Below are 14,070 nucleotides of genomic sequence, written 5' to 3'. Positions count from 1 at the left end.
TCAAAGTTTGGTTCCCTAGAACTGGCAGCATAACCATTGGCTGGACATTGGGCTGTGAAGGCTGCTCTCAAGCCCCATCCTTGACCTTGAACCAGAGCCTCTGGAGGGAGCCAGGGAGGAGAGAAGGGGGACAGTTTAGTTTAACAAGCGCTCCAGGAGATTCTCAGGCACTGTAAAGTCTGAGAAACTGCATGAAACCGAAGATAAGTGCATAATGTTATATTGAACATTCTTAGAGGGAAAACTTATTTGTACGTGCTATTATTCTCCTAGGATATTTACATCAAATTACCAAAGAGAGGATGAACTGAATAACGTCATATGTCAGAGTCTAAGTAGAAGTGTTTAAAAAATTATTCTTGCTATAACAGGAAGTATATATGAATTGATCATTCAAATACATACTTAAGGATCACATTTTATTTTGTGACTTAATCATGAGAATTAGAAAAAATATATGGATGAGTAGTATGTGAATTATTCATTTCACTCACTCTGAATTTAGTGAAATGCGGTGTCTTATTCTTACTGTATTAAAAATAAAAACATTAATAGAATGTTATAAAAATCTCAGTATATAAGGTGTGATTTTTGGGTGTATTTATTTTAAAATTATCTCTGCTCTAAATCATTACTCAAATTATATGTTGATAGTACATGTACATATATATGTATATACATACACATATATATATGCATGTTTATATATAATATGGAGCTTGATAATATCAGGTATTTGTTGTGGTTACTAATTAGTGAAATAGTGACAACATTCAAAACAACTGCATGCACAATTTTAGAATTGTAAACTTGGCTGGGCATGCTGGCTCATGCCTATAATCCCAGCATTTTGGGAGGCCGAGGCAGGTGGATCACGAGGTCAGGAGATCGAGACCATCCTGGCTAACATGGTGAAATCCCATCTCTACTAAAAAAACTACAAAAAATTAGCCGGGCATGGTGGCGGGTGCCTGTAGTCCCAGCTACTGGGGAGGCTGAGTCAGGAGAATGGCGTGAACCCAGGAGGAGGAGCTTGCAGCGAGCGGAGATCGTGCCACTGCATTCCAGCCTGGGCAACACAGCGAGACTCAAAAAATAAATAAAAAATAAATAAATAAAAATAAATAAATAAAATTGTAAACTTGTTTTATAATAATATGTCAATCCTTTATTTGCAGCATGTATGCAAACTTTATAAGGAATGGAGTGATTTGAGATATAGAGTATACATCACAGTCTCATTTATTCCTAAATTATATTTCAAAGAAAATAAGAATCTATATTAAGTTTCTAAATACACATTAAAGTTTTATCAAAATAATTAATTAAATTGAGTAATAAATTTGGTAGTTTCCACAAGAACAAAATCAAGGCATATCTAAATATTCACCAGTCTCTATAATTTATAAGACTGGGCTTTTAAGGATCTTTAACATATTTATTTCGGTAGTATAGCAGAAGTGTTTTTATTTCAAAGCTGTGATCTCTAAATCTTTGCACATAATTACCTATGTATAAATATATATAGGATGGGTGTAGTGGCTCATGCCTGTAATCCCAGTACTTTGGGAGGTCAAAACAGGAGAATAGCTTGAGGTCAGGAGTTCTAGCACAGACTGGACAACATAGCAAGACTTCATCTCTACCAAAAAAAATATACATATATATGTGTATATATATGTATATATACATATTGACTGCATAACCATTTCCAAACTATTTTAATCTATTAATTTCTCTAGACACATGTGCTAACTTTACAATAAACAAAGTCTCAATGTTTCCTAATGTTGTTTCAGCTCATGCCTGCAGACAGCCAGAAACCCCGGCACACGCGGATGTGAGAGCCATCGATCTTCCTACTTTCGGCTACACCTTAGTGTACACCTGCCATCCAGGCTTTTTCCTCGCAGGGGGATCTGAGCACAGAACATGTAAAGCAGACATGAAATGGACAGGAAAGTCGCCTGTGTGTAAAAGTAAGTCATTGATCAAGGAGTGGCATACTTTTCCAAAGAGCAAGGGAAAGGATCAGCTGCCCATCAGGCTAGTGTCCACGTGTGAGACCCATAAGTAAGAGCATGAGGCTGCAGCATCGCCACCTGCCTCAGTCGTGCTTCATGTGCGTGAGCTGTGTGTGTGAACGTGTGTATCCTCAGTGTTTGATGCAATGGTGGCATAGCTAAATATATAGTACAATTAGTATGCAATTAGTACATAATAAAATGATTGCATTATTTCAAGCCAAAAGAGAAAAGCTATTTGGTTAAAGAAAAGCATTCTGAGTTAAAAGGAAAATAATACTTGGTATAGTTTCAGGAAAAGTAGTTCTTAGAGATGAAAATGAATAAAGGTCACCAAGTATCCGAGAATAGGTAAATGAAACTCTGTCTTATTTTTAAGACCACATGCTGTTTGTGGTAAAACCTCAGTTTATGTGTCCCTGACATTGATTCTGCTTTTTAAAATTACAAAAGCAATTCACATGGAAACGATCCATTAATTACAAATTTGTGTGTTTACAAGTGAGAGTCATCAGCCTGGGTCAGATTTGACGATAGCTACACTTACAGGTTCTCCCCTGTTTGTAATTTATAAATCCATGGAGTCTAAACAGCATAAACCAAAAATGATGGCGTGTGAGACAGTCAGTGACTTTAGGTTTTGTTTCCTGGAGCCTATTTATAGTTCTCATATTAGGGATTTTAAAGAGACTTTTGTTTCCCTTGCCCTTCCCTGTTAGAAATAGAAGAATGAAAACTTTTAAAATGGTAATTCGTAGTTTGATCTAAAACTGTGAAAGCTAAGAAATTATGACGTAAATCTAACTTGATAGACCAAAATGAACATTCTGCAATGGAAATAATTTTGAATTTTTCAGTAGTAACGTATAAATTGATTGATTTGGGTGGGGTATTGGTCAATGAAGAGGGACTGTAACATCATGGTTATTTGGGTGGGGTGTTACCTTTTAGTATGTGGCAGGGTATTCCAAACAGGATACAAGAAATGTCATAGAAGGCACCCTCCTTTGCAAGGCTCTCTGTTGTAGCACTTTAAATGGAAATATACGTAGATAGATGTACATTGATTTTTCATCCTTAAACTCCGCTTTCCCACAAACACCAAGAATATTCTGCTGTAAAGACATGAGTTTAAAATGTATATGTATAAGGTATTCATATTTTGTACATTAAAAAAATCTGGAGAAAGGAAAATTGCTTCAATTTGACATTTTTTCAAACTTACTCAAAAATAAATGTTTTTTTTAAAATGATAATTTGTCTTTTTACTTGTAGGTAAAGGAGTGAGAGAAGTTAATGAAACAGTTACTAAAACTCCAGGTTTGTATACCAGAACAGTTCTAGATTTCAATCCAATAAAGTGATTTGTTCTCTACTCTGCACAGTGAAACTATTTTCAACATTTAAATTTCTGAATCCGTTAGTCCACGACCAAGTTAATGTTTCAATTATTTAAAACACCAAGCTTACATGGAATTCTGTTTATTTCACAACAATGGTTTGTTAATGAAATAACATTACTTCCCTTAAAAAGAAAACCTTTGGTGTTATCACACCCTGTTTCATTCAAACTTGCCTTCGGCATTTGGTAGGCAGAAATGAAAACATTGGTCGTTCCATGTGGTATAATGGAGAGCCTTATAAAGAGGGTTGCGACTTTTTTCCTCCAAATGAGGAAGCTCATATCAATGAGGCATTTTCACAGCATAAGTTGTTAATGTAAACAGTTCAGACATGGAGCCCAATTTTTTTCCAAGTGTCTCCATTCATCTAGGCATGCTTTGCCTTCTAAAATGTTAATTATAGTTTTTTGTTGTATGTGGCACCTTTTGCTAAAAGCATTATATAGCAAATCGCAAAGATGCAGTCCTATTTCCCAAGGAAAGTTTTTACTATACAAAATCATCTGGCATGTTCTGTGTTTTAAATTTAAATTATTTTTAAATAACAAAATGTATCCCAAATTATATTAATTTAAGTTGGGTATTTTGTTGTTGTTTTATCAGAAACAGAAATCCTTTGTAAATATATAAGATCACTTGACTAGTACTTTCTTTATTCAGGTTTTAACACTGTTTTTTTTTTTTTTTGGACATAAGCTCTATTTTAGAATCAAACATGGAAAGAGTATTTGTATTGCTATTGTCAGGATACTGTGTGACACATTTAATTCTTAGACAAGGAAAAATATTGTCAGGATGCTGTGTGACACATTTAATTCTTAGACAAGGAAAAATGTGCCAATATGATGAAAGGAATTTCTCCAATCTGAATAATAAAGAATATAAAATGCTTTTTAAAGCTTTCTAGACTATTTTATTTAAATATTACCTAAAAATCACATACAGAAGTCAGTGCTCTTTATCCAGGCAACATGTTCTTCAATGGAACAAAACACAGCCTCTTTTTGTTATTATTGTTGTGTGTGTGTTTTGTTTTTTATTTGCTTATTTTGTGTTTAAGATATTGAAATATCTATACACTCCTTTTGTAGGTGCAAACATTATTATCAATATTCCTTTTCTTGTACTCTTGGAAAGCAAGTGCTAATTGAATGTGATTCCTCATCATGGTGGTACATTCTAGTACAGCTCAGCTATGTGGCTGCTGCATTGTACTGCGGGCTGCCAGCAACAAGTGAAATTATAAAGACCCAGAAAGATGACCTCTGCCACATGACTCGTGGTCCTATTTTAATACACAGAAGCCACTTCTAAGACATTGGTTGTATCTTACCCTACCCAGCCAGGCCTGGCCCATTCCTGTGAAACTTCAACAAGATTAACTTAAGTGAATGCTTGAACAAGTGGATTAGTAACTTCAGAAGAGCATATAAATTCTAATTAGGGAAGATATTTTTTATGTACTTTAAAGGCTATTAATTTTAGTAATGGAAAATAAAGTTATTTTGAGGTTGCTGATTAAAATGGGGGCCTCTGTTGTGCTGACAGTGGCTAAGCAGATGTGTCTAAAATCAGTGATTTATAAGCAAATGTGTTAGATACTTGTGTGGATATATGAGTTTTTTACTTATTTTATTATCACTATTATTATGAGAAAGTGGGGTCTACAAAAGGCCAAAGGAAGCTATTATCTTCTGTTCCTCTTTAACCCTTCTCTTGCTAGGCCAAGTTTTATAGGTTCAGCCTGCCTAGGAAAACAAGAAAATGGCCAGTTGGGCTGGAAAGAAAAGCATGGGTATAGGAACAATATACTTTTGTCCTCATTATTTGCGACTATAAATGGACTTTTTAAAAAATGGGTTAGGGAGACATGAATCTTCATTTCCACCTAGCAACTCAAGCAATGTGTTTTGACCAATTATGCTTATCATGAATCTTATCTAATTAAATAATTCATGCACATCAGAAGGCAGAAAACAAAGAGTAATGCTGAAATCATCATGTGAATTTATACACTACAATTCACGTTTATGTGTGAAAATGGCAGGATTTTATACACATTTTTAAACAGACACATGAAAAATAAGTTTATTTTTTTCTTAAGCCGTGAAAACAAGAAGAAATATCTCAATAATCTTTGTTAAGTTTTCCTGTCGATGGATTCTGTGCTTTAAAAAGACTGCCTTTCATTACTGAATTTAAAAGACATGTATAAAAGAAACATTTGAAATTATTGAGCCCATCTCTTCTTACTCATGGAATATATTACATAAAGAGATTAAAGAAGAACAGAAGAGTATGAATGACAGAGAGGGACTCTACTTACAAAATAAAGACTCTGAAGTGAAAGGGCTTTGTCTTCATAAGTCCACTTGGTGCTGGGATATGTAAGCTTTTTCGAGACAGGGCATTGCTCTCGTATTATATATATCAGTTCTTTGGAGCCTTCCAAGTCTTTCAAAGAGTAGACTTGGATATCATTGAAATATCAGTAGTGATTTCATGGGTCAGGTAAACATATTTCTTGCTAAGCACAATAAAAACTAAACTAGCATTAGAAGTACCAGTTCACCATAGCCCATGAGCTTGGAAGGGCTGTTAAAGTAGGTATGCTTTGGCTTCTAATAATAATAAAAGAAACCCATAAGCACAAGTGTCTACTTGCATACCATAATAATCTTCGCACCTGCTTCTTTTGAGTTTTGCACGTGCTGTGAACAGCGATGCACTAGGCTCCTCTTGTCTTCATCACTGCCCTCATCTGTGATCGCTCGCTAAGCAGTATGATGCCTTCTGTGTTTAATAATGTCTGAATTTATTGTTTGTGTGTGTGCTGACATTGGTCTGTTTCCCCCCTTCCCACAGTTCCTTCAGATGTCTTTTTCGTCAATTCACTGTGGAAGGGGTATTATGAATATTTAGGGAAAAGACAACCCGCCACTCTAACTGTTGACTGGTTCAATGCAACAAGCAGTAAGGTGAATGCCACCTTCAGCGAAGCCTCGCCAGTGGAGCTGAAGTTGACAGGTAGGTCCCGAAGAATTCACTAAACGCATGGTGTGAGCAGAAATAGACCTGTTATCTTTTCACAGAGAGGTGATCTAGTAAGTATTAAGTACTTATTACTGTTCTGTTGGCTTTGTATATACTGTAACTCATTGGAGCCTCTCCCTAGCCGTGAGAGGTTGGTATTATTTTCTTATTTTAGAGATTACAAAACGAGTACAGAAAAGTGAACTGATTTGCTCAAAATTATGCACATATTAAGTCAAGAATCTGAGATTCGTATACAGATACTGCATGTCTCCAAACTTTATTTCTTAATACTTTTTCTTAACTCATGTGCTCTTCATGAGATTTTTAAAATCATCACACAATTAATAAAATAAAACAGCCTCGATTTATATGGCAAACACTATTTTAAGCACTGTATGTGTATTATCATTTTCATTCTTACATTAATTCTGTGATGTATTTTTACTGTATACTTTTTTAGAGAGAGATTTTTTAATTAGCAAAATCAAATATGTTATTTTTTATTCTTTCTGTGGAATAAGGATATTGAACTTAGTGGAGTGGATTATACCTATTCAAGATAGACAAGGATTTAAGAAGTGATTTTCAGGGGAAAATGGAAGCTCCTAAGCTAAAATTCACAAATAAAAATACAATTTCTGTTTGAGTTTTCTATTATCGATGATATTATCATCTCCGTACCACATTCCACATCAAATGGATTAAAGGGCTGAATTACTAACTTTCTCCAAGGTAAGCCTAAACTGCTGATCTTTTCACAGGCATTTACAAGAAGGAGGAGGCCCACTTACTCCTGAAAGCTTTTCAAATTAAAGGCCAGGCAGATATTTTTGTAAGCAAGTTCGAAAATGACAACTGGGGACTAGATGGTTATGTAAGTACATGTGTAAGGTCTGTGACAAAGCACAGGCTTTCTAATCATCTCTCTGTGCAGATGCAAGGGCTACGGATTGGAGGCTTCTGAGTAGAGCTGTCTTGTGTCTGCCCCTTGAAAACTCAGCTGCCCCTCTTCTTGACAGAGTGGCCATTTTATTCCTTCATTTTATAAGGGAAGAAACCAGGTCTAAGAAGTAAGCAATGAACTGGCCATCCTTAAAGGGGTGGTTACTGTTGAGGACAGAACAAGACCTGAAATCCAGGGTCTATGATGTTACTGCTACGTTATATCGTGAGTGGTGCCATCAGAAATTTTCCAAGACCGCTTGATAACCACGCTGCTCGTTCTAAAAGAAATCATTCCCAGATAAATAGAAAGATTTAAGACATCCCCCTTAACACCGTTCTTTGCAAGTTAACCATTTGTTCGTGTTCTAATTTACTATCTGACTTAAGGGTAGACAGCCATACATGATGTACCCTGCCCAATAGCTGGGACACAAAGTGAGTTTTACATAATGTAGATTATTTCTTAATTCATACGTTTGTGTTCCCTTAGAAAGTGCAGTTAACATATGGATATATTGTAAAATTTGCTATCATTTTCGAGATCAAAATGAGATTGTGAGCATTTGCATATGTTAGTTAAAGTTCACTTCTGTGTTGGTTTCTGATCTTTAACTATAAATGTGTCACCAAAAGCCATGGCAAAAATAAAACATTTAACCAGTAGTATCTAAATATGAGATATAACAGTTGTATTAAAAGATATATTAAAAGAGGATATTATTCATCCCTTCGTATACCTTTTTATTTCTTTTCTTTTCTTTCCTATGTGTCAGGTGTCATCTGGACTTGAAAGAGGAGGATTTACTTTTCAAGGTGACATTCATGGAAAAGACTTTGGAAAATTTAAGCTAGAAAGGCAAGGTAAGTTGCACTTAGGATATATTTTAAAGCAAATATCAGTTTGGCTTTCCAATGATGTTTCTAAGAAGAAATGGAAAAGACGACTCTAAAAGAAACCTAAACAAAAATAATGAGAGAGACTAACATATTTTACAGCTGAATGAAAAAAAATTATTTTGAATAGCAAAATACACAAACACAAAGCCGGAAATAATGCAATAAATGTGCCAGACATCATATCTTCACTATATCAAGAGCTATTAAAAATAAGAGAGAAAAAGATGAAAATCAAAGTATAAGCAAAGTATATTACCCAAAGAAAACTAAGAGTTCTTAAAAGTAAAAAAAAAAAGTAAGAGTAATTAAAAGTGGCCAACAAACATATAAAAAGATCTTCAGAAATATACATATATATATTTATATAGTAACAAAGATGATTATTTTTAGTTATCAGAATGACAAAGTTTTAATAATTGGTTTGGGGTTGATAGCAGGAAAAGATGCTCATGTTTAATTTTGATGGATGTATGGGTAGATACAATTGGTCAGTACTTTGTTCATCCAACAATTTTCTGTCTAGAATTTTTAATCAGGCAAATGTGTAAATTGTTTTCTGCATATTCAGGCGTGTCCAAAGCAGGATTGTTTTAGTAGTGGAACTTAGAAATAACCTCCGCATGTTGCCCATCTATGCTGAAAGAATTGCTTCAATGAGTATTTTTATGTAACAAATTATACTACCTATGAAACAATTATTATTCAGTATATTTATTTAAAGAAATGAGGACTATATATTGATGTGGAAAGAGGTTTGACTTATAAATGAGAAAAAGCTTATTCTACATAGACAGGTAAGTCCTCCTTCCTTCTTTATAGCTTTCTGTACTATTTGATTTTTGCCTTAGTGATTAAAGGAGGAACATATGTGGAAACAATCATCAGATCTGAATGCTACCTCGTCTGCTTCCTATTTTTGTCATCTAGGATGGGTCACAATATTCTTGAGCCTATTTCTTCATCTTAAATCTCAGTATAGAAGTTCCCAAGGTTGTTACGAGATTGAGAGGCCACGTAAGCATTGCTTTGTGCATGCTACAGCTCTTTTTGCACAAAAGTCGTTATAATTGTTGCAACCCACAAATAAAAGGAAACGCATTTTTGTAACAACCTTGGCACCATATTTCTCCTACTTGTAGAATACTATTCACACAGTATTACTATAAAGAAGAATATTACCATATAGGCTTTGATACCAGAGCCACCTTTTGGAGGAATGTGAGTGTACAATTTTGTAATGATTACCACTGATGAACTTATTTTGTAAGACTTTTATCAAAGTGCTGAATATAAAAAAAGTCTACTGGCCTGTAGAAAAGCCAAAAAAAAAAAAAGGATAATTAATCATAAAATACTTTACTTCCACTATTCAACCCACAGTATTATTAAATAGAAGAACATTATAATGTTGGCAGTGGCTGAGATTATATGTTAAATTGGGTTATATTATTTTGAGGTAATGAAATGGAATAAATGCATTAGACCAACACTAATGATGGGTGATGTTTTTTCTCTTGCTCTAAGCCGAATCCTGGAGTTATTTGTCCTCCTTTCTCTCTGTAGCACACGCTCTAGTAATTTTGTTGAAGGACACCCCAGTGAGCTGTACAGGATGCTGTGTAGATGTCTAAGTTGACTGATCCAATGAATTTGACCTGAACTATCAGTTTGCTATTACACGTTTTCTTTGCATTACCCCTTTTCTTTTTAATCTAACAAAATAACAGCTTGGTTTAACAAGGGATTTTTATTCTCATGTGATGATGAGCTTGTTGTCAGGAAAAACAGTTTACTTTACAAAATAATTTGAGTCATAAGTAAGTCCCCCCTTCAACTAATTAGAAAAGTTTGTGTTTACGTAATTCTGCAACAGCAACCATTCATTTAAGAATGATGGCAAGCATCTATTTTTATGGATAAAAATAACCTCCTAATTTTCTCTAGTCAGTAGATAAACCAAAAAACGTGATTGTCATTAAGTGGATACTAAAATAAAATTAATTTGAAAGACAAATTTAATGCAAAAACTTGCGTAAGAAACTCAACAATAAACTGGTTTCCTCATTAGGATTGAATGACTCAACCCTAACATACACACAAAGAATGAGAGAAAATACATAAAATTATGTACCTGATAAGTGACTTGTATCCAGAATGTACGAAGAACTCTTATGGCTCAATAATACAGAGGCAAATAACCTAAATAAGAAATTGACCAAAGATTTGAATAGATATGTCTCTAAAGACATGCAAATGGCGATAAGCCCATGAAAAGATGTTGATTATAATCATTATCAGGGAAATGCAAATCAAAACCACACTGGGATACCCCTTCATGTCCACAAGGATGGCTGTGATCTAAAAGTCAAATCGCAAAGGGTGGCAAGGAGGCGGAGGAACTGGAACTGTCCTACTTTGCTGGGGAAATGTGAAATGATGCAGCTGCTCTGGAAAACACTCTGGTAGTTCATCAAACAGTTGTTACTTAAGCTCCAGCAATTCCATTCCTACATGGGTAGCCAAAAGAACTGAAAAATATGTCACACAAAACTTGTACATGAATGCTTAGAGCAGCATTATTTATAATAACCCAAATGTAGATACAACCAAAATGTCTATCAATGGATGAATGAATAAACAATATGTAATATAGCCATACAATGGAATATTAGTCAGCACTGAAGAAGAATAAAGTATTGAAGAATCCTACAACAAGGATGGACCTTGAAAACGTCATGCCAAGTGAAGGAAGCCAGATAAAAAAAGGCCAAATAGTCTATGAATCCATTACAGGAGATGTCCATAACAGGCAAATCCAAAGAGATGGGACACTGATTAGTGGTTGCCTGGGTTGAAGGTTGGGATGAAGGTAGAGGAAGAATAAAGCTAAGAGATACTGAGATTCTTTTGGAGGGACACCAATCTTCTAAGTGAGACTACGGTGGTGATTGCACCACCCTATGAAAACACTGAGAAAGCCTTGGATTGTGTGTTCAGCTTAAGTGGATGAATTATATAGGACAGTCACGCATCGCATAATGACATTTTGGTCAACAAAAGATCGCATATGCACCAGTGACCCCATAAGATTATAAAGAAGCTGACAAATTCCTAACACCTGGTGACACCACAGCTGCCATAATGTCATAGTGCACGGTGTTACTCATGTAGGAGCCACTGGCTGTACCTATAGCCTAGATATGCAGTAGGCAACACCGTCTAGGTGTGTGAGTGCACTCTGATGCTCACACAGCCGCAAAATTGCCTCACGAAGCATTTCTCAGAATGTATCCCCAACATGAAGTGTTGCGTGACAGGATGTGCATTTGTTTCAATAATGCTCTTTAGAAAATTGAATGACCTAGCTTATCACATGTGCAAAGATGCTCACCCTCCTTCAGTAAAGAAATGTAAATTTATAACTACCTAAACACTGTTTGATTTATCATTGTAGTAGTGGCAGCAACAGTTGTGGTTGCAACAGCCAAGGAACCAATAATAACGTGTGGAAGGAGGGCAATGAGAGAGGAGGAGGGACAGGGGAAAACAAGGAGGGGGAAGAGAAGGGAACGGAGGGTAGCAGAGGGATCGCACAGAGCTGTCCATGTGTTATTGTGAAGACCCTCGTACGATAATGATTGAATGAAATTGCAGTGCCTCTTTAGAGAGCAATTAGGTAGGATGTAGCAACACTAAAAGGTACAAATTCTGTTTCTCAATAATTCTACTTCTTAAGATTTGTCTTATGTAATGTCGACTCCTGCTAATGTGTAGATATAGGCAAAAGATTTCATTGCAACATTATAGAAGTATTAGAAACACCCTTAATGTCCCTGGACAGTAGACTGGCTAAATAAATGCTGTTATATCTAATCAGTAGAATACTACACACCTTAAAAAATTAAATCTGATTCATATATGCCAATGGAAGAGCCTCATAAATAGACTGTTAAGGTTAAAAGCCACATAAGCAAAATGCAAATAATATTACCAATTATAAAAATAAGAAAAGAGAAATAATCACACATATTACGAGTACATTGTTGGAAGGACAATTTTTAAAACCCTCAACTATAAAGAGGAACTACCTTGTAGGGCAAGGAATGATTATTTTAATTTTCCTTTATATTATTTGTTTTCATATCCCTTTATGCCATTTTAATTAACACAATGTGTGTATATTAACCTTCAAATTATTAAAACAAGGCAAGTAACTGAAATTAACTAGGAGCTGCAGGCATGTGATAATCTCACGGTAAGTTTGGTTATGTAATTCACAAACACCTTCTTACGTGTTGTTCTTTGTTTTCATGTGAGGTGTCTTGTGACACGTAGATTTTCCAGCATTTTATTATTTGGAATTTTGTTATCTATTATGGATAAAAGTATGTAGCTTTGTTTTCAGATTAAAAAAAGTAACTGTGGTTAATGTAAGTAGAATACACATTTATAAGAATAAGACAGATAATCCCAGAATTACAGAAACTTGAAGATCAATGTTTGGCATCGTAATGGAAACTAAAAGATATTTGGGTGCTGAAATGCTATACAGACAAAACTTTTTTTTTTAATTTTGCAAATATATATTGAGCACATACTGTGTTCTAGGTTTTATTGCAGGTTCTGAGGAGTCAAGAGGAAAGCTACCCAAACCAAACGAAACCAAACAAAACAAAACAAAATCCCTGGCTTCAGGAAAGTTACATTTTTGTGACTATGAGTCCGTGTGAACATTCCCTCTGTGCCAGGCATTGTTGTAAGCACTTGAGATGTACTAACATATGATTTTCACAACCAACCCATGAAGTTGGTGCCATCTGAGTAGGGCACCACTGCTCTCTGTTGGACAGCACCACCCCTTGTCACTGGACATCACTGCTGCACCACTGCTGCTGCTGGGACCACCCTCAGTGCACACATACACACACACTTCATGTTGTCCCCAGGGCTCTAGAACCCCTTCAGCCATGGAACAAATTTTAAACCATCTCAGAATGTTTTGCGTCCCTCGCTTCCAATACAGTGCCTGGGGTGGGAACACCCAATTGGCTTCACTCGCTGCACGTCCATAACCTGGGTGCTCAGATTGCAAGAGAGCAAGTGTCTGGCATCTTCCTTTTGCGTGATGGTGGGGCAGATCTCAAAAAGATAAGTAGTTGTAAAAAGCCAACATTGCTCCAAAATATGTTCCTATTGGACGTTAATATTGTAGGCAGTCATAATCCTACATCTATTGAAGCAAATGGCAAATAATGTCATTTGAAAGTTTTTATATGAAAATTAAAGGGTGTTGATACAAATAATGATTTAAAGATTTTTAATATTTGATTGATTTTTTGCATTTCTGGTTTATAAAACAATAAATACAGCAACATCTCTTTGAATCTGACATTTTATAAATTCTGGAAATAAGAAAACCAGATGAGCTTCTTCTCAACAATTCTGCTATATTGAGATGACGCCAATCATGATTCATTGCACACCTGCATTAAGTGACTCCATGCAATTAGGCCAAATCCATCTCAAAATTATATTTTATTAGTACACTCTTCAAAAACTTACTTCCTCCTTTGGCAACAGTTGCTTAATAAAGGTCTGTGGATTTGAGTTTTTATTGCTTTCCTCTCAGTGCCATGCCATGAGACACTCCATAGTCCTGGCTGATTCTATCACCTTCATGATACTTGAAGTATTCACATTTGCCTTCCTTTCTAATGGACAAAAGGTATATTTTAGGTCAGGTGTGGTGGCTTAAGCCTGTAATT

At 35.3% G+C, this 14,070-nt stretch overlaps 1 protein-coding gene and 1 long non-coding RNA gene across 10 annotated transcripts in view; one reads left to right on the top strand and one right to left on the bottom strand.

Annotated features, from left to right (window-relative positions):
* The window catches only part of LOC105377785 (uncharacterized), a 297,276-nt gene that overhangs the window by 66,664 nt on the left and 216,542 nt on the right, over positions 1–14,070 (bottom strand). The window lies entirely within an intron of this gene.
* CSMD1 (CUB and Sushi multiple domains 1) overlaps positions 1–14,070 on the top strand; it is a 2,059,554-nt gene that overhangs the window by 2,037,347 nt on the left and 8,137 nt on the right. For 3 of the 5 annotated variants that reach the window (NM_033225.6, XM_011534753.4, XM_011534754.2), the window contains 5 exons: positions 1,800–1,979; positions 3,300–3,344; positions 6,293–6,454; positions 7,225–7,337; positions 8,182–8,269. In NM_033225.6, the coding sequence (NP_150094.5) occupies positions 1,800–1,979; positions 3,300–3,344; positions 6,293–6,454; positions 7,225–7,337; positions 8,182–8,269 (588 nt within the window). Of the gene's footprint in view, positions 1–6; positions 1,573–1,799; positions 1,980–3,299; positions 3,345–6,292; positions 6,455–7,224; positions 7,338–8,181; positions 8,270–14,070 lie in introns of those variants that run through there. The other 2 variants (XM_011534752.3, XM_017013731.2) reach the window with 2 other exon arrangements.

Source organism: Homo sapiens, chromosome 8 (genome assembly GCF_000001405.40).
Source record: "Homo sapiens chromosome 8, GRCh38.p14 Primary Assembly".
NCBI lineage: Eukaryota > Metazoa > Chordata > Mammalia > Primates > Hominidae > Homo > Homo sapiens.
The sequence above is the reverse complement of the archived record's forward strand: the minus strand, read 5'-3'. Positions and strand labels throughout refer to the sequence as shown.